At 48.7% G+C, this 13,908-nt stretch overlaps 1 protein-coding gene across 20 annotated transcripts in view, besides 5 other annotated features; it reads right to left on the reverse strand.

Annotated features, from left to right (window-relative positions):
- Positions 1 to 13,908, reverse strand: part of ACIN1 (apoptotic chromatin condensation inducer 1) — a 37,051-nt gene that overhangs the window by 2,401 nt on the left and 20,742 nt on the right. For 4 of the 20 annotated variants that reach the window (NM_001164815.2, NM_014977.4, NM_001386863.1 and 1 more), the window contains 10 exons: positions 8,512 to 8,653; positions 5,002 to 5,044; positions 3,391 to 3,524; positions 3,141 to 3,293; positions 2,472 to 2,613; positions 1,965 to 2,110; positions 1,452 to 1,559; positions 1,204 to 1,311; positions 334 to 658; positions 120 to 220 (listed from right to left, as the gene is read on the reverse strand). In NM_001164815.2, coding sequence (NP_001158287.2) covers positions 120 to 220; positions 334 to 658; positions 1,204 to 1,311; positions 1,452 to 1,559; positions 1,965 to 2,110; positions 2,472 to 2,613; positions 3,141 to 3,293; positions 3,391 to 3,524; positions 5,002 to 5,044; positions 8,512 to 8,653 — 1,402 coding nt within the window. Of the gene's footprint in view, positions 1 to 119; positions 221 to 333; positions 659 to 1,203; positions 1,312 to 1,451; positions 1,560 to 1,964; positions 2,111 to 2,471; positions 2,614 to 3,140; positions 3,294 to 3,390; positions 3,525 to 5,001; positions 5,045 to 6,395; positions 8,654 to 10,160; positions 10,606 to 13,908 lie in introns of those variants that run through there. The other 16 variants (XM_047431115.1, NM_001164814.2, XM_047431113.1 and 13 more) reach the window with 10 other exon arrangements.
- Positions 672 to 1,871: an enhancer, noted in NCBI's record as "CDK7 strongly-dependent group 2 enhancer chr14:23530845-23532044 (GRCh37/hg19 assembly coordinates)". NCBI's record gives its function as "activates an origin of replication core promoter dependent on BRD2, BRD4, P300/CBP, MED14 and CDK7 cofactors, with strong dependence on CDK7, by STARR-seq in HCT116 cells {active_cell/tissue: HCT116}" and the evidence as "EXISTENCE:reporter gene assay evidence [ECO:0000049][PMID:35650434]".
- Positions 7,498 to 8,022: an enhancer, noted in NCBI's record as "H3K27ac-H3K4me1 hESC enhancer chr14:23537671-23538195 (GRCh37/hg19 assembly coordinates)". NCBI's record gives its function as "activates a minimal SCP1, AML or CMV promoter by ChIP-STARR-seq in primed H9 embryonic stem cells {active_cell/tissue: H9 hESC(primed)}" and the evidence as "EXISTENCE:reporter gene assay evidence [ECO:0000049][PMID:30033119]".
- Positions 8,170 to 8,219: an enhancer, noted in NCBI's record as "active region_8159". NCBI's record gives its function as "activates an Ori minimal core promoter by ATAC-STARR-seq in GM12878 lymphoblastoid cells {active_cell/tissue: GM12878}" and the evidence as "EXISTENCE:reporter gene assay evidence [ECO:0000049][PMID:35858748]".
- Positions 8,300 to 8,389: an enhancer, noted in NCBI's record as "active region_8160". NCBI's record gives its function as "activates an Ori minimal core promoter by ATAC-STARR-seq in GM12878 lymphoblastoid cells {active_cell/tissue: GM12878}" and the evidence as "EXISTENCE:reporter gene assay evidence [ECO:0000049][PMID:35858748]".
- Positions 10,420 to 10,489: an enhancer, noted in NCBI's record as "active region_8161". NCBI's record gives its function as "activates an Ori minimal core promoter by ATAC-STARR-seq in GM12878 lymphoblastoid cells {active_cell/tissue: GM12878}" and the evidence as "EXISTENCE:reporter gene assay evidence [ECO:0000049][PMID:35858748]".

A 13,908-nucleotide genomic window follows, 5' to 3' on the forward strand; every position in this document is an offset into this window, starting at 1 on the left:
TTATCCTAAACCTAGGAAGTACTTGGGCCGACTCACTCTCGCAGTCACATGAATCTCCCCTCACCCTGACCTCAAGCCTCAGTGCCACTAGGGAGCAGGGCACGAAGAAGAGCACTCACCTGGCTGTCAGTCAGTGGGAGCCAATAGATGCAGGGAGCTGCCTTGGTCTTTCGGAAAAGGTCATCCAGCAGCTTGGCAGGTGGTTCCTCCTGGGCTTTCTCTGAGGTGGAAAAAAGTGAACCAGATATGATGCATCTGACCCTCTGTCCCATCCCATCTGGGTCCCTTTCCCACCTACTAGTGGGTATGCGTACCCCATAGCTAAGTACCTACCTTTCTTCTCACTCTTCTTTTCTTTAGACTTCGCACGTTCCTTGCGGCGGCGGTCACGGGACCTTGATCGGGAACGGGGCCCTTCTCGAACTTTGTCCCGATCCCATTCACGCTCTGATCGAGTCCGCTCCCGCCGCTCCATTTCCCGTTCCCGTTCTGCCCACTGTTCCCGCACTGCCCGTTCCTGCTCCCGCTGCTCTGCCCGGGGGTGCTGTGGTGGCTGGACCGGGGGTGGGGGTGGGGGGTGCAGGGGCCGTGGTATTCCCTGCTCCTCTGTCTTAGTTTCAGAGGGACGGTCCACCAAGAGGCCTCGGTGATAATCCAGCTGTGGGGAGAGGAGGGACAAGGACAGTTAGGATAGAGGTGATATCACTCCCACTCAAGGAGCCAGGATGGCCGGGCGCGGTGGCTCACGCCTGTAATCCCAGCACTTTGGGAGGCCAAGGCGGTCAGATCACGAGGTCAGGAGACCGAGACCATCCTGGCTGACACGGTGAAACCCCGTCTCTACTGAAAATACAAAAAAATTAGCCGGGCGTGGTGGCGGGCGCCTGTAGTCCCAGCTATTCGGGAGGCTGAGGCAGGAGAATGGCGTGAACCCGGAAGGCGGAGCTTGCAGTGAGCTGAGATCGCGCCACTGCACTCCAGCCTGGGAGACAGCGAGACTCTGTCTCAAAAAAAAAAAAAAAAAAAAAAGGAGCCCAGGTACCACTTTGAAGCCCCATGGTACAATTAAAGGAACCAAAGCCAGGGAAGAAGAGAAAAGAACAGAAGCTCAGAGACTGCAGGTCTGGCAAGGATCTCAGCTGAAATCTAGCAGATAATGGCTTCCCCTGCCCCTCCTCTCTTTCCTCTCCCTAGGTTTCTTACCTCATCTTGCTCGGCATAGTCAGCACAAAGGAATTTGGGATTGGACTGGGGCCATTTGACCCCGTGCAGAGCTGTGCGGGTGGCAACAGCTTCCTCTACTGTTGAGTACTGGTGGAGGAAGGGAGAAGATGGAGGGTCACAGTGTGTCTGCAACCCTTCCCACGTGCTGCAACACCCTTAAACCTGCCCACACTGGTCACAAAAGGAAATATATGCCATGACCTATAGAATCAGCTTCTTCCCCTCACCGTTACAAAGCAATGAGATTTGATCTTGTCAATCCAGAAGGCCTCTTCCACCAAGGTTCCTGTGCGCCCCAACAACTCCTTTAGCTGGCCTAAAGTGAAAGGACGGACCTGCCAATGAAAATAGACTTTCAGGGTCTAGCAGAAGGCAAGACCACCACCCAATCTTTAGATTTCCCGAGCTGCTGTCACAGGAGTATAGTTTCAAGGTTTGGGGGAGGGCAGAGAGTTTAGGAACCTTGCAGTAAGAATGTGAGAAGAGTGGTGGTGCTTCCCAGCACTAATTGAGACGTTGTATGTGAGGCCTTCTGCAAGTCCTCAAAACAACCCTGCAGGGCAACAGCTTTTCCCCCTCATTTTTAGATGGGTAAATATGTTAAGTAACTCACTCAAGATCAGTGAGTAACTTAATCTATTGGTAGACCAGTTCAACTATGAGTGGAACCTAGGAGGCATAAGCCTAAAGCTCAAACTTAACCACTAAGCAAGCTGGGATGGTGAGAAACAATGACTTACCAAATTGGAGATATGGACAATGTTGCTAATCTTGCCCCGGGGTGGGGAGGGCACCTGGGCAGTTCGGACTGGGTCATCAATGGTAATGGAAACTCCGGACTTCTGCTGGCTAATGGAACGTCGAGTTAAGGTATCTCCTAAAGTCACTATCAAGAAGACCACAAGAACAGCTTTTGGTAGGAAGCAATACTGGCTCTTTTCACCCTCAATGTAACTCTCACGGTTCCCTTTCTTTTATACCAAGCAGCCACTCCTTAATCTAAACGTGCAGAGCACCTATAATCTGCAAAGTACTGTGCTAGGCTAACCTCCTCATCATGGAGATTCAAAGATTAAACAGAGTCAAATCTGGCCCTCAAGTAGCTTACTTAATATGTAGGAGAAAGATATGATATACGAAAAAATATAATGAAAGGCAGGAAACATTCAAAGCTTTCAGCGATCCAAATGAGGTGCTCTGAGAATTCAGGGAGCCGCATTACATTTCTCTCACAATATGTCACTCACCTTTCTTTACTTCATGCTCTGCAGGTGGGGGCAAGGCCACCTCTACTGACACCTGGGGAGGTACAGGAGGTTCTGCTTCAGGTTCCTTCTCTTCTTCCTCTTCTTCCCTCTGCCCATTCTCCTGGCCCTCTGCAGGTACTACCTATCAAGGTGTCAGAGAACACAGCAGGTCTGTTAAACACCAAACTGGCATATTCTTTTCAGCCTCTGGTTCCCCGGTAAGAGTAGCAGTCAATCTAGCATGTTCCTTCCGCTAGGGGTATTTCGTTATCGGCTCACTTCTACCAGATCCTGGGATTGTTAGTGCCTCAACTTTGCCTTGAGGAAAACTAAGACAGGAGTTAGTAAATTTTTTCTGTAGAGCAAAGCAGTACTTCAGGTTTTGCAGGCCACATAGTTTGTTGCAACTACTCAACTCTGGTGATGTTGTAGTGAACAAACAGCCACAGACAAAAGTGAATGAACTCGTGTGGTTGTGTTCCAATCAAACTTTATTTGTAACAGGTAGCCAGCTGGATTTGGTAGTCTGACCCCTGAAAGTGTCAGTCAACCCAACCCTCTGCACAGACAGGGAAGTTCCCTCCAAAGACTTTATCTCAGCTCCTCAGCTAGCTGCTCTGCATCTACTGCTCCCACCTTTCCCCTGACACTGGGGTGCAGAAGCCTTACCTGAGTGACTGTCCGGCATATTTTCAGCCCCTTGTCATGGGTCCCATCATCGCCATTACGCTCTGTCTCATCCTCAGAGATGCGAGAGTCATCAGCATGAAGATCCACAACAGCCTCCTGCCCCGCCAGGGGTTTGATGTCGGGGATGAGGCTCTGGGACACAGATACCCCCCACCCCGTTACACTGGGCCCATGTCTACTCCCACCTTAACAGGTCTCATCCTCCCTTCCCTGGCTCCTCCCACCTCACCTTTAGTGATTCAGTGGTGATACTGATGGAAGGTTTCTTCTGTGTGGTGGCTGTGCTGGCTCCCCAGCGTCGTTTCCGACCAGGCTGGCCCCCCTCTGTGTCACTGTTTCCAGCTGGCACCCCCTTGGTAGCTGCTGTCCCCAAGAAATAGACCCAACAGTTAGATGGTCTCAGGACCTCTGCTAGTTCAAACCGTAATACCTACAGGTTACCTCTGGCTGGAGTTTTGGTAAAAGGTTAACTTAAAGAAATCATATTTGGAGGCTGAGTGTGGTGGCTCACACCTGTAATCCCAGCACTTTGGGAGGCCAAGGCGGGTGGATCACGAGGTCAGGAGTTTGAGACTAGCCTGACCAACATGGTGAAACCCCATCTCTACTAAAAATACAAAAATTAGCCAGGCGTTGTGGTGCATGCCTGTAATCCCAGCTACTCAGGGTGCTGAAGCAGAATTGCTTGAACCCGGGAGGCGGAGGCTGCAGTGAGCCAAGATGGTGCCACTGACTGCACTCCAGCCTGGTGACAGAGCAAGACTCCGTCTCAAAAAAAAAAAAAGAAAAGAAATCATATTTGGGAACTGGGGAAACCATGGCTTCAGACTGAACACTGATCTAAAAGCAGTAAGGGAGGGGTAGCTAGTTTGATGAGCCGTTTAAACTTTTAATGGTAGACAGTAATATCAAGTAGTGTGGAAGAAAAACTGAGAAGGACATGTAAATGCAGAAGAAACAAGAACACTATGTGATACTAACATCTAGGCAGAACTAAGATCATGATGGGATCTGGTCTTCCTTTAATTTTCACACTACAGATTGATATTTAAGTTATAAACATCTATTATACTTTTGTAATCTAGAGTTCCTCATTGGGGAAAATGTTAAAATTGTTACTGTTTGAGGTGTGGGGCACTTTCATTTCCTTGGGTGCTCTCTTAGAATAACGCATAAACAAGGTCAGGCACGATGGCTCACGCCTGTAATCCCAACACTTTGGGAGGCCAAGGCAGGCGGATCACAAGGTCAGGAGTTCAAGACCAGCCTGTCCAACATGGGGAAACCCCATCTCTACTAAAAATACAAAAATTAGCTGGGCATGGTGGCGCATGCCTCTAATCCCAGCTACTCAGGAGGCGGAGGAGGATTGCTTGAACTGGGACCCGGAGGCGGAGGTTGCAGTGAGCCAAAATCGCACCACTGCACTCCAGCCTAGGGTACTACAGAGGGAGACTCCGTCTCAAAAAAACAACAACAAAATACCCAGAATAATTCATAAACTGCTAAGCATCACATAGGAGTCCCTGAAACTCATTCCTTGTTGAGTATTCAGGTATCTGAAAGAATAAATGCCTCTAAGGCTAAATGGGACATGGTCTCAGACACCTCACACTGTATCTCATTAAAATGTGACTGGAGCAATATGATGGGGATTGTCTCAAGTTTTGAATTCCAAAATGAAACCCTACATAGGAAAGGATTCAGATTTGCTAGGCACAAGGGGTGGGGCAGGAGGGAGTGACCCAAGAATGCCATTGAGAATGAAATTCTGGTTCTCAATGAATGCTGGTTTTTATGGTATTCCTGACTTTTATCAGGGATTTGGGGCTGGACTTACAGACAACGGAGATCTTCCTCTTGAATGATTTGGGCAGCGAGCTCTGTATGAAGAAGAAAAAGGGGAAAAAAAAGAGAAAGAGAGACACCCCACAGAGAGGGGGGAAGGAGGTTAGATGGGGCAGTCTTAGCTTAGCCTCCAAAGACACAGATAGAGTGAGAGAGAGAGACAGAGAGAGACACAGAGACAGACAGAGACCAAAACAGAAGCGGCAAACGGCAAAAACGAAGCAGAATCAATGCAAGTTAGAGAAAAAAATAAAACTAAACATCAGAGCAGGGAAAAGTCATCTACTCCGTATCACACCTGTGTATTAGCTTAACCAGAAATAAGCTGGAAGAGGAGTTCAGTAGCCTCTCAGCCCCCTAAAGATGTTGGTCATACCCCCTCTTTCACCGTCTGAGTCGAGAGGACACCAAGCCAAACAAACTGTGCCCCAAACTGGGTCATCTAGTCCTCCCAGGTCCTTCCTTGCTAACTCGAGGAAACAAGGAAAACCAACTTTGGATGGCAACTTCAACAAGGTAACCCTCCTTTCTTCAATGGCCAGACTGATGCCCACTGACAATGGCTTTGAGATGCTTGGACAGCAGACTGTCATGTCAAGACTGCCCAGACCCCCACCACACTGTGGAAAAGGGCAGCACCAGACCCACTGGAGATGAGGCTCTTGAGCCAAGTGCTAGCAAAAAGAACTCAAAGGTGTCTTTGATAAAGGAAGGTTTTTATGAAGGGCAGATTGTCCCCAAGGAGATCCTTAGACTTTCCAGCCACCGCAGGGAGCTCCAGCAGAGTCTTACTGTTTCCTCTCCAACCAGGGCTCAAGCCTTAGGGGCTCTGCCAAAGACCAGAAGACATCTTTGGGACAAGTCTCTACCCCAAACACTCAGTGGGTGAATGACGAAAGACTATGGGGGGCGGGGGAGAAAAGTGAGAGAGAAAAAGGGAATAGAGTATTTTCAAGTGTAGGTGCTTATTTCTGGAAAAACTAAGACCACTCTACCACTCTTCTAAAGGGTAGGGCAGAAACCTCGTGATGAAATCCCTTTCCCATCCACCCCCACCCGCAGCCCCGTTTGTGTCGTCTAACCAAGTCTCCTTGGTCTCTGTTAAGGGCCAGCCTGACCCCTAGCTGGGCCGCTCTCGATGGGTAAGTTAGTGAGAAAAACAAAACAAAAAAAAAGGTCTTAATTAAAACAGGAAAAACATGAACCAAATAAATAAATAAAAGAAATCAGAAAAAATAAAGATATAGAAAAAAATAAAATAAAATATTAAAAAAAGAAGAAGAAAATAAAGAAGAAAATAAACTAGGAATATGACAAATGTTCCAGGTACCATCTCACACCTGGGATCTTCAGTTCAGCCAATCGCACCTCACTGTGTACTGTATCTAGTCAACCGCCGGTCCAATCAGAATGAGCCCTCCCTGCTAGGCGCTGTGCAATTGGTGGGGGGTTGGGTTGGCAAAAAAGGTGGGCGCACGGCGTGGTAGTCAGCACGGCACTGCCAGAGTCCTCCCAGGGGCGCAGGGGGGGCGGGAGGGAAACGTGTGGGGGGACGCTGCCCAGTTTCCATGATGTCAAGACAGTTCACTGGCGGTGGCCAGGCTCAGCGAGGGATAGAGGGGGGAAAGGGGCAGAGACATCAGTCCTGGCCCTGAAGGGACATCATCTTGCAGTCCCTGATGAGATGGCCTGTGAGTAGCAGGAATGATCCTTGCCTTTTATCGTGAGAGGCAGGCAGGACCCTATGTCCACCAGTGGCAAGCTGCAGCAATAACACCACCCAATACTTGGAATCCAGGTGATGACTCCAGAGTCCCTTTCTCCTCTGCCTGTAACTGGGGAGGGGGTCCTCTCACCGAGTGGGATCATGGAGCCTCTGATGAAGGTAGCCTGGGGGTAGGTGAATACCCCAGGACCTGGCAGACATTCAGCAGCAAGGTCAGAATACTTCTCTTCGGAGAGTTGTGGCTGGCATCTCCTCAGGGACTCCAGCTGAGACAGTGGTTCCAGTCAGGTGGATGAAATGAGTCCCTGCCTCCAGGGATGGAGGAGAAGTTGGAGCAACCAACATGCTGCCCTTCACCATGGACAACAGGGACCAAAGGAAAGTCCATCTGATGAGCAAGTGGTGACACATGGGCTGGGCTGTCATCAGCATTAAATCCCCAGGGGCTCAGACCCTAGACTCCTCTGCACGGTTCCTAGTCGTCACAGCTTAAGTAGAGGGTCCCACTCAGTGTTTTACAGCATGGCACTGCGATCACAAACTTTAGGAGGTCTTGGTGCCCTAGATGGGGATCCCAACAGTCTGTAGCAAACAAGGCAACCCACAGTCCTCAAAAGGGCAAGGGCATGTGGGCAGGCGCCCCAGCACTGGCACAAGCTCTTCTTGGGGTGTCCCAAGTAGGGAGATGATGCAAGTCCACCCCTTTCCAAATGTTTTTTGCTTGCTCAATACAAGTCTCTCCAGAACAGTGTTCTTCTTGGCCCCCTGATGTAAGCAAGACAGGGAGGCAAAAGGGGGCCCATCACAGGAGCCCATATACATGCCCCCCTCTGGCCAAGACACCTGGATAGCAGACTTGGCTCTGATTGGGCAGCTCAGTAGCAGCGGGTGGGTCCAGAGGAAGAGGCGGCATCAGCGATTGGCCAGTTGGGCAGGGTTATATTTTACGGGCGGATTACCGTACATGAGGTACTTGGACAAAGTTTTACGGGGAAGAAGGACCTTGTAATAAATAATATTCTGCACATCAAATCACTTTCACCGGCCCCCACCCCCGCAACACACACCAGAAAAAGGCTACACACACAACAGTCCCTCCCACCTTGTTACCCCTCTCCTAAACCCAGCTCATTCTTTCTCAATTACTTTAAGAGCCAAGAAGACTTCGCTGGCTCTGATGGGGGAAGCCCCCTGAAGTGGGTGCAGGACACAAGATAACATATGCCAAAAAAGGAGGTAGAGGGGTCACAGGTAACTGAGAATGGGCCTTCCGGATCACAAGTGCTGGCTTCTAAGTAGCTACATCTCTGCAGTCAGACCACTGGAGGGCAGAGGAGGAACAAAAATTTCTCAGCATGGCTGGTCTGGTGAGAACCACCAATGTCCACTAGATGGCGTTGGGCTCCATCAGGCTTTTAAAAAGGAGGGAAAGCTAAAGGAGTTACCACCAGGAGAAGCTTGGGAAGACAGCAGGAAAAGCTGAACATAAATCTTAGATAAAGGGCCATTATCAGACTTTCCCGTTAGTTACAAACGTCTAGAGTCTGGGCACTACTTCCCCAACAAGGAAAGGAAAATGAATGAGCCCTGTCCCCGTCACAAGGGGTCTCCCTTGCTAAACCAGCGAATTCTCCCTTGGCCCTATTCTGATCCAAGTCCCTGCCTCATCCCTCCTTTAAGTTAACCCACCGTGTAAGAGGGATCACTAGAGTGCTCTACTCTTTCCCCTAGGTCCATTCCTGCCCACCCGCCCCAATAGGTGGCTTGGATGTTTACCTCTTTCTTCTCCTCATCTTCAACACTGCCCTCCGGGCGGTCATCATTGCTGACTTGGTCTGCAATAGGCATGGGAGGTTCTGGAACATCATTTTCAGGTCTGTTTTCACTTGTGTCCATGGTCACTTCCTCCTTCTCCTCACTGACAGGAGGGGGGAGTGGTGGTGGGGGGGCGGGCAGAAAAGAACCAAGGGGAAGAGAGAGCAAGATGTTAGTTACTGGGTCAGGAAACCCTCCTGCCTCATCACTTGGGTGGGATTAGGAGGGCTGCTTTTCTGATCAAGGTTAGAGACCTTGTCCCAATGGGAAAAGTGGGAAATAGATTTTCCTTGGGGAAAGAGCGTGGATCACAGCAACCACATCCACCTATTGCCCAGATGAGTTAAAAGTTGTCATTTGTGGGGTTAGGACTCCAACTATTCTCAGGTAATAACTCACCAGAGTACTCCTATATGAAAGGAGAAAAACCCTCCTCTGAAAATAGTCCCACAAAAGTGACTGTGATTTGCCCACAACCCTGTGGCCTCAGTCTCCCTGGCCAAAGGCACCTTTATATGGCAAAATTGCACGAGAAACGAAGGGAAGCCCGATTCCCTTAAAAAGACAAGAAAGAATGGCCAAGGCTTTGGCAAAAAAGCCTGACCTGTGTTTAATCAACTGCTTAATAAGTAAAGGCCTGCTGATCCTCAGGATCTGGAGACACCAGCATGGAGAAAATGGTGGGGGGTGGGGGGTGCGGGGCGGGGGGTGGGAGCTGCAGGGAAGAAGCAGGCCTGGTGAAGGTTCAAGCTTCAAGGACCCTCTCTCATTCAAAAGGAAAAATTAAAACTGCTGAATTGAGTATGAGAGCTCAGAGATTAGGGCCACTTTTACCTGCTCAGAGGTGTAGAAACTGTTCCTACATTCGGCTTTCACCCAGTTTCTCCCACTCCCTCATTCCAACTTCCAAGAGATAAAGAGAGCAGGCCTCCTAGTCAGGACACACCCTCCCCCACACAGGCAGCTTCCCCCAAGAACACCAAACCCACTCTCCCACTCTTAATCTCACAAGTTAGCTCCCATTTCAGGCAAAGAATCCCAGAGATTCACTTCAGATAAACTATCTTTCCACCTTTGATTTCTGTCTTCGTCCCCAACTTCTATCTCAAATCTCACCCCCTCTACCACCCAAACACCAAGCAAAAAAAATCAAATCAAGATGATCAGAGGCCTAAGGCTCAGGAGAGGGGAAACCAAGCCTCCCAGGCCGATAACCACCACCAGAAAAGTCAGCATTCCCAACAGGCTGACTGACTGACACTCAGAGGTCAGAAGAACCTCCCTAGAGCAGTCAAGAAGGGATGCACTAGGGGGGTTAGGGGGAGGGGAAAATCGGAACTGTGCCCCCAGCTAAACAGGCCCCCAGAGAAACACGAGATTTAGCTGCTTACATCTAGAGAAAAGGCTTATACAAAAAAAATATCTATTTCCCATACAGAAAGGGCATGTGGGGCCAATTAGAAACTGGGCAGGCAGGACAAAGGGGGAAGGCAGAATGACTGAAAACAAACCAAAACGAAAGACGGAATGAAAGCCATGAGGAAGAGAAGGAAGACGAAGGGAGCTAGGGCGGCGGGGAAAAGGCATACATGGAAATGTGAAGCTCTCACCCTTCTTTGCTTTCTGATAACATGATTTTTTTTCTCCCCCTGGAAGTGCTGTTTATCCCTTTCTGGAATGGAAGAAATAACAAAAACCAAACAAAAAAAATCCTAAAAAAAATAAAGAAAAAAAACCACACCTTCCTTGTTCCAAGATCCCACCACCTCCTCCCCAGCCACCCGATCCAGAGAGAGAAAATTGAGATGTAGCAACCGGGGATCCAAAAAATGGTAAATGGAAGGGGAGGTGGTGGTGGTGCGGGGAGGCTAAAACAGATCTGGCTTTTAAGAGATAAGCGTTAAGTCCTCACGGCAAACCCCGAGTTCGGCTGGATTGGTCTCTCTGGAGAAGGAGGAAGAGGGCCAGGCTGCTGGTAGTGGCTGGCTCTATTGTATTGGCGGAGCGGCAGCGATCAGCCGGAGACATGCAGGGGAGCCATCTTGCCACTTACCCAGCAGCCTGTGTGTGCGGATGGGGGAGGGCCTTGCTGCAGCAGGGGAGGGGAAAGAAAAGAGGGAGGGAGCTGAGTGAGCAAGGTTCTTATCCTTTGGCAGGCCACAGGGAGCCGACTGCTGGCTCCAGAGGCCTGGCCTTCTTTTCTCAAGTTACAGCAGCTACAGAGGCTTAACCCCCCAGGGCTGGAGTGCTCCCTCCTGGTCTTCCCAGGGGGCAGGGGAGGGGGCTGGGTGGAGGACATGTAAAGTTACAGCTGCTTGATTGGAAGATTCTAGAAAATAGAGAGAATAGAAGGCAGGCAAACAGTAGAGGTGGGAGTGAAAAAGGATTAAATAAGAACGATAAAGCCAAAGTTGAAAAGTGATTAAAGAAGGATGGTAATGAAAGCTGGATAGAGGGTGGGGCATGAGCAATGTTTTATGTGCCTACCATCCTCTATCCAGTAATCTAGGCATGGAACACTGAAACCAGACCAACCAGTCAGATGCTGCAGGTAGGGAGGTGGGATGGGAATTGTCACTATCCAATCACTACAGTAACTGGCTGCTCACCCCGGCAATGACCACGTGTTACTACTCCAACATGTCCTTTTCCCAGGGATGGTGGAGGGAAGTGGATAGCAGGGAGAGTTCTTTTTTCAAATACCAGTAGAAGGGGGGCAGGGTTGGTGTCTCTGAAGAGATGACAGACAACTTTGTTTTATAGAGTCTTTAATAAGGTCACCCTGCCCCAGGGTCCACTCGGGCCAGAAAAAGAAAGGATAAACAGGGCAAGGGGACCTTGGGTAGCTGAAGCTTGAAGGCCACTTCTTGAAGCAAGGGCTCCAAGGTGAGGCTCTAAAGTAGATAAGACAGTGAAGTGAGAGTGCTGCTATATGGGGCGGGGAAGATCAGCTGGGCAGAAAGCGACTGGGAACTAAGCAGAAAATATTAATCATGGGAATCTTCACTAGACCAAAGTGGGAAACAGATGCTAATAGTTCAAAAAGTGCTCAGTAGATACTCAAAATGCTTATTTGTTGACTGCAGAGATGTTCCTTTTGTGTCCTAGTGGCAGTAGAAGTTTACACTAAGATAAACTTCTGAGAACCAAAGCTCAGTGTCTCGTGTAACATTTGAGCTTTTAAGCTAGGAATGAAATTTTCTCCCCGCTGCTTAAAATCTTACACTTACAATGCCAACTGCATGCTAAAGTGGCCATATTTATACATTACTTTAAATGTTTCCTTTCACATAGTGGTCCCTGTCTGCTCAGGGTTAAGAGTGAAGACTCTGGAGTCAGACTGGCTAGCCCCACTCTGTTAAAAGTTGTGTGATAGTAGGCAAGTTCCTGGTTCTGTATATCTGTCTTGTAATCTGCAAAGTGGGCATAGTGACAATACCTATTTCATGGAACAGTGTAGTTAAGTGTTAGCTCTTAAGAGTCTGGCTTGGAGGACACCCCAAGTGAAGGTACAGATACATGTAAAATACATGCACACTTAATAGGCCATTATCTCATCTGATGCCACCTCTGGGGCTCTGAGTTTCCTCAAAAGAGTAGACTGCTTGTTTTCTGAGGCAAAGCCATTCAGTGATTGGCATGACAGGTTTTCAGCAATGCCCTTATCACTCTGTATAATAACTGCTACTTTATCTGCCCCCCATCTCTACCCTGCATAATTCCTCAAGGGTAGGGATTGCATCTCTTGGCCCCTAGCCCAGGGCCTAACACAAAGTAATGTTCCCTAACTATTTCTGAATTAGGGTGTCATTGTGGGTACCAAGTGGACACTTACTAAATGCTTGCTAACCTAAAAGTTTTCTTATTGAAAAAAAAATTTTTTGGCTGGGCATGGTGGCTCACGCCTGTAATCCCAGCACTTTGGGAGGCTGAGGTGGGCGGATCACCAGCCTGACCAACATGGAGAAACCCTGTCTCTACTAAAAACACAAAATTGGCTGGGCGTGGTGGTGCATGCCTGTAATCCCAGCTACTCGGGAGGCTGAGGCAGGAGAATCACTTGAACCCAGGATGCAGAGGTTGTGGTGAGCCGAGATCGTGCCATTGCACTCCAGCCTGGGCAACAAGAGCAAAACTCCATCTCAAAAAAAGAAAAAAATTTTTTTAATAGAATCCCCACAAACAATGTTACACCACAGAAAATGTTACCTTCAGCCATCCTCAAATAAAATGCTCTGTTTATCCACTGTCCTAAAATACTCTCAGCTGCTAATATGCCTCTGCAGAAGTGGCTGATTTTGAGAAATTTTGTTATTGAAAATTCCTTTTTTTTTTTTTTTTTGAGACGGAGTCTCACTCTGTTGCCCAGGCTGGAGTGCAGTGGCACAATCTCAGCTCACTGCAAGCTCCGCCTCCGGGGTTCACACCATTCTCCTGCCTCAGCCTCCCGAGCAGCTGGGACTACAGGCACCCTCCATTACACCCGGCTAATTTTTTGTATTTTTAGTAGAAACGGGGTTTCACTGTGTCAGCTAGGATGGTCTCGATCTTCTGACCTTGTGATTCGCGCGTCTCGGCCTCCCAAAGTGCTGGGATCACAGGCGTGAGCCATCATGCCCGGCCGAAAATTTCTTTTTTTTAAGAATAAGAATCTTACCACGTTCTCCTTTACCCTCTTAAGACACAAGAGGCGTGTGTTTTCTATTTCCCCATGATCAATTCTGTGGGACCCAACAATTCCGAACATTTTATTTTCAGACAATAATGAGGGCCGGGCATGGTGGCTCACGCCTGTAATACCAACACTTTGGGAGGCTGAGACAGGAGGACTGCCTGAGGCCAGGAGTTTGAGACCAGCCTGGCCAACATGGTGAAACCCCATCTCTATTAAAAATAGAAAAATTAGCAGGGTGTGGCAGCCGCGTCTATAGTCCCAGATACTCAGGAGGCTGAGGCATGATAATTGCTTGAACCCAGGAGGCGGAGGTTGCAGTGAGCAGAGATCGGGCCACTGCACTCCAGCCTGGGTGACAGAGTGAGACTCTGTCTCCAAAAAAGAAAAAAGATAAAGAGGAATCCTTGAAACTGTCCCCAAAATGGACTCTATCTACTTGCAGGACTAGTACCAAAACCTTGTTAACCATGTGTCAGAGCCCAACATAGCTTAACAGTCTGTGAAACTGCACAGAATAAGCAGTGGGGATATCTACCCATAAGTAAACAGTACACAAAGAAGCCCAGAAGAAAAGGGTACAACTACTTGGAGGCTAATAATATCACATTACAACTCATATGTGAATATGAGATTCAGAGAAGCTAATGGAAAAGGAAATTCCTATAGGCATATATGCTGAAATT

Source organism: Homo sapiens, chromosome 14 (assembly GCF_000001405.40).
Source record: "Homo sapiens chromosome 14, GRCh38.p14 Primary Assembly".
Taxonomy (NCBI): Eukaryota; Metazoa; Chordata; class Mammalia; order Primates; family Hominidae; genus Homo; species Homo sapiens.